Source organism: Homo sapiens, chromosome 17 (assembly GCF_000001405.40).
Source record: "Homo sapiens chromosome 17, GRCh38.p14 Primary Assembly".
Classification (NCBI taxonomy): Eukaryota; Metazoa; Chordata; class Mammalia; order Primates; family Hominidae; genus Homo; species Homo sapiens.
In genome coordinates, this window is record NC_000017.11 from 65,220,628 (window position 1) to 65,228,118 (window position 7,491).

Genomic DNA, 7,491 nt, shown 5'->3' on the forward strand with positions numbered 1-7,491 from the left:
CATGCTGCACCTAAATGTGGCCCTCTGCTCACCTTTCTGCTCCCAGGAAGTGGGAGTTCAGGTGGCCCCAAGGTCTCTTTCAAATTCTCAACCACATTCCGAGGACAGAAAATGAATTTCATCTCTATGCACTACCTGCTTTGCCATTCATTAAAATGCCTGTGATTGTGTTCTCATGTTAACATACCTGTTTCATTTCATGCTCCTTTACTCCCTTCTCTTGGTTCCCTTGTACAATAAAACAGCAGCATGAAACAAAACAATGCTAAGCTCTCCTTCACTGTGTCTCTGTGGTGTCACATTTCTTTGCCATGTGTCATGCATGCCACTGCTTTGCTGCCTCACACCAATGGTAGGTGGGGCATGGGCTGGAGGGGCTGGGTCTCCAAGCAGAGCCCCAGGCTCCATGGGAGGGACCAAGGTGGGGAATTGTGGGAACGGGTGGAAAAGACATCTGCTTAGATTGTCCAGGACCAGTAAAGCTAATGGTCATTTGCCCAGAAGAAAGGACCATCTCAGGCCAGGTAAGTGGCCATCTTCCTCGCCTGTCTGTCATTCATCCCAGAAAAGAGAAGATGCTAGGGGAGGAGTGGAGCCAGAGATGGACCGAGAGAGGTAGGAGGGTGGGAGGAGGGCACAGAGTTGGGGGAGGGCATATAGAGAGGCTGATCTGGTCACAAACTTTGAGTTTTGTCAAGTTGCATCATATCCATGAACCTCAGTTGTCTTATCTGTATAGTGGGATGATAGAAGTTTATCACAAATTCTGAGGAAGTGGAATGGAAGTTAATTCTGTATCTCTCTTGACAAAGCCGAGTTCCTAGTTTTGGTATTTTTGGATGGCAATGTGAATCAGCAAGGAAAGCAAGGCCCTTTGGGTCACACAGACCTGGCCTCAGGTTCTCATTTAGTCACTGCTTCAGTTTTCTATTGCTGCATAACAATGACCACAAGCACCAGCCAGGTATGAGCTCAGTTTTCCAGGAGACATTTGGCTGATGTCTTGTTCAAGGGGCTGTAAGGGAATTCCATAAACTAGGGAACTTATCAACAACAAACACTTCCCGCGGTTCTGAAGGCTGGGATGTCCACGATGGAGGCCCCAACAGATTCGGGGTCTGGTGGAGTCCCACTTTGTGGTTCATAGATGGAGTCTCTTCACTGTGTCTTCCCACGGTGGAAGGGCCAACCTAGTGCCCTGGGGTCTATTTCATAAGGATACTGATCCTTTTCACAAGGGCTCTGCCCTCATGACTAATCACCTCCCAAAGACCCCGCTTCCTAATACTATCACCTGCAAGGGGAAGGCCTTCAACATATACATTTTGTGGAGGACACAAATCTTAGACAGCGCAGCTGGGTTCTCAGCTCAGGGTCTCACATTCAAGGTGTCAGCCAGGCTGACGGGGTTCTCATCTGGATGCTTCTAAGAAGAATCTGCTTCCAAGCTCATTTGGGTTGCTGGCAGGATTCAGTTCCTCGTTTAAGACTCAGGTCACTGTCTTCTTGCTGGCCATCAGCTGGGAGCTGCTCTCAGCAGCTGGGGGCCACCTGCATTCCTTGAGATGTGCCCCCTCCATCTTCAAAGCCAGCCATGGAGACCTTCTCCCCAGTTGAATCCTTGCCAAGCTTCCGATCTCTCTGCCTTCTGCCTCTGGCCTCTAGACTCAGATGGAAAGGGCTCCTGTGACCAGCTGGAGCTCACCCAGACACTCCCCCTTTTTAAAAGTCAGCTATGCCTCATCACATAGCCTGACTGGGAGTGACTACCCCATCACATTTATGGTTCACGTGTACACTCAAGGACAGGGGTGGGAATCCTACATGCCACAGTCACTGTGATTCTACATGCCACAGTCACTGACTAGTCATGAGAGCTGGTAAAGGGTAATGAGCCCCTGTGGGCCTCAATGTTCTGTTCTCTAAAATGGGGTGGTTATAGATAAGCAAAGTACCTAGCATGTAGTAGATACTTGATACATCTACGAGCCACCCTTTTCCACCTAACAGTTGTCTCCCAAGCCCCTAATCAAGGCCCAGCTTTCCCTGCTGTACATTCTTTGCAGAATGTGTCCTAAGTAGAGTTGCACCTCCCTATAGAAGGGAAGGGGTTAGAAGCTTAGTGCAGAGTCCCTTAAGCTTACAGGGCAGAATAATCTCAGATGTCAGCTAGAAATGCTTTCCTTCAGTCGCACCCCCCTGATATTCTCCTTCAGTGGGGCTGTGGTGGGGCCAGGTTCTGCCTTTGTACTAAGCACCCTGAGTGATTCTGATGTGGCCGATCTGTAGACCACACCGAGGCATCCCGCGAGCGATGACTGCGCCGACTCCGAGTCAGCCAGTTGGGTTTCAAAGTCTGAGCCCACTGTTCCTGGCAGGGTGTCCCTGGAGGAATGGCTGGACTTCTCTTAGTGTCCTCATCTGTAAAATGGGGATAATAACAGTTGCCTCACTGGGTGGCTCTGTGGAGCATGCAATAATCCACAATAGTGGATTTGCAATTACAGTAATAATTGCAATTATAATAGTTATTGCAAATGCAATAATTCATGATTATTGAGTAAAGTGCTCAGTCCAGGGCCTCACATTTGCTGTGTTCTCACTGTGAATTAATGATGTGATTGTTATTACTATAATAACCCCATGGCCCTGGGCGTGGGCCTGGCTTTTGCTCTGCCACCCTGTGGGATTCTGGGCAGTGAGGGGGAATGATGGGCTCTGAGCTGCTGTTTGGGAACAGAATCTCGTTTGAACTTCAGGGAGCTGGTGGGAAGGAATGAGACAAGCCCTCCATGCCCTCCTGGCCCTGCCCTCAGTGGCCCCTGGCCTTTCTTCCCCCACCAGAGCTGTTCTTGGGTGCGCCTGCCCTTCCCTGTTCAGGCTGGGACCTGCCCATGCAGGTGATCTGAAAGCCAGGCCACCCTCTGCAGGAGCCACCTGCTCAGGGACCAGGGCTACCTCCTTCAGCCCGGGGGCAGTGCCCAGATCCCGGGGTCAGCCAGCTCTCACTGAGCAGGGCAACTATGTGGCTGTGCTGTGTGTTAGGCCTTTTGTGCTCTGACTGTCCTGGAGCCCCTCACCTCCTTCTCGAGGACCAGAGCATCCCCAGCTTGTTCATGCCAGGCTTTTTTTTTTTTTTTTAAGATGGAGTTTTGCTCTGTCACCCAGGCTGGAGTGCAGTGACGCGATCTCGGCTCACTGCAATCTATGCCTCCCGGGTTCAAGTGATCCTCCTGCCTCAGCCTCCTGAGTAGCTGGGATTACAGGCACCCACCACCACATCCAGCTATTTTTTTTTTTTGTATTTTTAGTAGAGATGGGGTTTCTTCATGTTGGCCAGGCTGGTCTCGAACTCCTGACCTCAGGTTATCCACCCGCCTCAGCTTCCCAAAGTGCTGGGATTACAGGGGTGAGCCACCATGCTGGGCTTCATGCCAGGCTTTGATGTGGCTTGGGCCACAGCAGGCCTTTAGGAGGGAATCCAGCAAACCCAGGCCCATGGGCCAGTGTGTTCCGCCATGGGAAAAGTGGTGATAGCAGACAGGCTCACTGAAAATTCCGATTTTAATTTCCTTTTGTCTGCTTTCAGGCAACTTTGGGCTGTAAATGCCAGATTTACCCCTCCTGGCCTATGCTCTGGGGGCTGGGGCCATGGTGGCCCAGGAAGGTTGAGATACTTCCCCTTTCTCCACTGAACACCTCCTCGCCATGTATTCCTGTTTCCTTCTCCCCAGCCTGGCCTGGTTCCACATTCAACCTTTCTTCCTGACCACCCCGGCTCTGCCTGAGGGGAGATCTGGGAAGGTGCTGGGCCTAGACCACCCCAAAAGGGTGGTCACTGTGGATACTGGGCAGGGCTCAGAGCAAGGAGGGGCCTCAGGCCCGGAGCAGTCAGGAAGGCATGAGCTGGGACTTCTTCTGTCACCTCCACTTATCAGCTAAAAGTGTTTTAAATGCCTCCAGACCTGAGGTTGGGGCCCAAGGATGGAGAAGGCAGGGCATGGGCTGTGGCAGGTACTATGCATTGCTCATTTGGGGACTGGAGTTGAGGGGTGATCGGGAATGCAGCCTGGCCATACTCCAGCATCCTTGGCCTGGAAGAAGGTCAGTTCATGTCCCGGGATACAACTGCTTAGCCCTGGGACTGTGACCAGGGCTGGGCGACAGGCAGGTCCCTGGACAGGAGGCCTCTGTGTGGCTGTGCCATTGTCATAGGTAGCTTTGGACACCGTTCCCAGCTCCCTAGGAGGCAGCCATATCAGGCCCGCACTCTTGTCGCTGGAAGGGGACTAAGTTAGCAGAGGACAGCCCAGGGGCCCTGCTGGCTGGGGCCATGCAACTCACCACTGAGCTCTCTCCTTTCCTTCTCTACAGCCGGGCCAGCACATGGCTCCCAGCCCCCATCTGACCGTGTACACCGGGACCTGCATGCCCCCGTCTCCTTCTAGCCCCTTCTCCTCCTCCTGCCGCTCCCCCAGGAAGCCTTTCGCCTCACCCAGCCGCTTCATCCGGCGACCCAGCACCACCATCTGCCCCTCACCCATCAGAGTGGCCTTGGAGAGCTCATCGGGCTTGGAGCAGAAAGGGGAGTGCAGCGGGTCCATGGCCCCCCGTGGGCCCTCTGTCACCGAGAGCAGCGAGGCCTCCCTCGACACCTCCTGGCCTCGCAGCCGGCCCAGGGCCCCTCCTAAGGCCCGCATGGCTCTGTCCTTCAGCAGGTTTCTGAGACGAGGCTGTCTGGCCTCACCTGTCTTTGCCAGGCTCTCACCCAAGTGCCCTGCTGTGTCCCACGGGAGGGTGCAGCCCCTGGGGGACGTGGGCCAGCAGCTGCCACGATTGAAATCCAAGAGAGTAGCAAAGTAAGAACCCGAAGGGGACGTGCCGTATGCATGGGTGGCTGTGGGTGTGCAGGCCTCTGCATGTGAATATGCATGCTTTGGGCTGGGGACTGGGATGGGTGAGAACAGATACCCCAGGCAGCCCACTCAGATCCCTTGGCCACTGGAAGATATTCAGAAACTCAGTTTTGTCCTCTGCTGTCCTCCCGAGGGAGAAGGAACAGGTGTCCTTCTTTTTCATCTTCCAAATCTTTTCCATTTTTCCAAATCTCTTTTCCCCTTATATGTTCTTCCACTCACATTGTCCCATCCCAAGACCGTTATTAGTCTAAGAAACCCATTGCATCTGTAAAGAGCAGGAAAGATTGGTGGCAGCAGTGGGAGCTGCAGGTGTTGGGATGCCCTGGGCATGCTTCTGGGTGCTCCAGCCCCTCCCTCACCATAAGTGCCCTTGCCTCCCTTCCCCCACCCTAAGGAAACCTTCCCACCCTCCTCTGCATCCATTGGCACAGTCTCTTAGAGGGACTTTCAGGGAGCCTTGTTCTGGCAGTCATTTCTGTGAAAATGAAAGTGCGTAGCCTTTGCCTGAGGGGGGGCCCCTCTAAACTTCATTTTGGGTGGTCCTGCAAGCCTGATCTCTGAGAACCCCCAGTTCCCTGAGACAGGCCAGAGGGGGCAGAACTAAGGCTCTGAGGAGTGCTCCATAACGCCTGGATCAGAGCAGAAAGAAAACTTGTGAGCGATGCAACACAGAGAATCAGCTCCTACACTTACTGAGTTTTGGGGGAGACAGTCAGGGGCACCCCTGCACCAATCAACATGTGTTTGGCCTCGTCTGGGCTTGGAGAAGAAAGCACCATGCAGAAGTCTTAGGTTGCCAGGGATACCCGGGGACAGCCAGGCAGAGGTTGTTATCCCTCCTGCCTGTGTCGCTTAGGGGGAGAGGGAGGAGCAGGTGACTCTAGTTGCCTTAGGAGAAGGGTCAGAATCCTGTGTGAGTGTGTCTATTGATTTTTCCCAACAGGCCCTGCAGAGGGAATATTCCAGCTTTGGGGCCGCTGCTATGCCTCATACATGGGCTTGGGACTTTAAAAGGCTCTCTTCTCAAGGGCCACTACTTCCTCAGAAGGCAGTTTTTTGTTTGTCTGGGTGTTTTTTTTTTTTTGAGATGGAGTTTTGCTCTGTAGTCCAAGCTGGAGTGCAGTGGTGTAATCTTGGCTCACTGCAGTGTCCGTCTCCCAGGTTCCAGCAATTCTCCTGCCTCAGCCTCCCAGGTAGCTGAAATCACAGGCACATGCCACCACGCCCGGCTAATTTTTTTGTATTTTTAGTAGAGACGGGGTTTCGCCATTTTGGCCAGGCTGGTCTCGAACTCCTGACCTCAGGCGATCCGCCTGTCTCAGCCTCTCAAAGTGCTAAGATTACAGGCATGAGCCACAGTGCCCAGCACCCATGAAGTCAGTTTAAAGGGGTTGATGACTAAGTCCTGGTATGTCCTACAGGGACCTCCTGAATCCATCAAAACCACAGGGATCCGAGCACCTCAAAAATGAAAACAAAGCACCTTCAGAATTATTTTTCATTCAAAATGAAAATATGAATCCCCAATAAAAAGATTCCACCAAGCCAATCACTGCACACACAACCTTTGTAGTCAAATGCTCTACCCCTGAGCTATACCTGCCCCCACCACAGTCTTTGGCAAATGCACCTGGTATGTTCATCTTCAAGGATGTCAGGATGATTTGGGGAGGTGCAGTCCCTCCTGCCCCTGCCCCTACATTACTGGCTTTCCTCTTGCACCTGAAGCTTTTTCCAGATCAAAATGGATGTGCCCACGGGGAGCGGGACCTGCTTGATGGACTCGGAGGATGCTGGAACAGGAGAGTCGGGTGACCGGGCCACAGAAAAGGAGGTCATCTGCCCCTGGGAGAGCCTGTAAGGAAAGAGGCAGGCTGAGCTGGGGGCTCTGGACCAGGAAGATGCTCTGACAGATGCCATGGTATGGGCCACAGGACACACTTGCTCGAGAACCAAAGTGCATTTGGGTGACATTTGAAGATTGGGGAGACAAGATGGGGTAGATTGTGGCAAAGAATGCTCTGGCTGGTTACCAGGGGCCAACTCCTTCTCCTCTTCCTGACCCTCCCTCCCCTGGGCAGAAGAAACGCATGTGGACCAGAAGACTTTCCCTGCTGCCTTAAAACCAATAAAAGGTTAACTTTAAGTTTCTTGGAATGTTAGTGTGTGTCTGGTTTTGTTAGTAATTTGTGAGCTATTATTTATGAGTTAAACTCACGTCTTCTTCAATCTTCTGGACAAAGGGACATTGAGTCGCTTCCAAGAGCTCTCTCCTTGTCTAAATGGGTTTGTGCACAATGCTTTTCTCATCAGCAGAGCTCCCCAGGGGATGCCCCGGGGCATGGCATCTCACAGGAATGGACAGAGGGCTGGGAGCAGGCACACTCCTAAAATGCCAGGTGTGTTGCCTCAGGTCCTCCAAGAAGCAGACACCAAGGTGAGATTCGATGGACAAGAGATTTGTTGGGGAAAACACCTGTGGTAGATAAAGGAAGGGCCAGAGCTGGAGAAAGTTGAAGTTGAGTGTTGAGGGGGTTCGGGGCGGGGGGCAGTCCAGACCGTGCTGCAAGTC

The 7,491-nt window shown here is 52.8% G+C and overlaps 1 protein-coding gene across 2 annotated transcripts in view, besides 2 other annotated features; it reads left to right on the top strand.

Moving 5' to 3' along the window:
• The window catches only part of RGS9 (regulator of G protein signaling 9), a 90,334-nt gene extending 83,258 nt beyond the window's left edge, over positions 1-7,076 (top strand). For both annotated transcript variants that reach the window (NM_003835.4, NM_001081955.3), the window contains exons 18-19: positions 4,375-4,859; positions 6,648-7,076. In NM_003835.4, coding sequence (NP_003826.2) covers positions 4,375-4,859; positions 6,648-6,780 — 618 coding nt within the window. In that variant the 3' untranslated portion in view covers positions 6,781-7,076. The remainder of the gene's footprint in view (positions 1-4,374; positions 4,860-6,647) is intronic.
• Positions 3,703-4,507: an enhancer, noted in NCBI's record as "H3K4me1 hESC enhancer chr17:63220448-63221252 (GRCh37/hg19 assembly coordinates)". NCBI's record gives its function as "activates a minimal SCP1, AML or CMV promoter by ChIP-STARR-seq in primed H9 embryonic stem cells {active_cell/tissue: H9 hESC(primed)}" and the evidence as "EXISTENCE:reporter gene assay evidence [ECO:0000049][PMID:30033119]".
• Positions 4,508-5,312: an enhancer, noted in NCBI's record as "H3K4me1 hESC enhancer chr17:63221253-63222057 (GRCh37/hg19 assembly coordinates)". NCBI's record gives its function as "activates a minimal SCP1, AML or CMV promoter by ChIP-STARR-seq in primed H9 embryonic stem cells {active_cell/tissue: H9 hESC(primed)}" and the evidence as "EXISTENCE:reporter gene assay evidence [ECO:0000049][PMID:30033119]".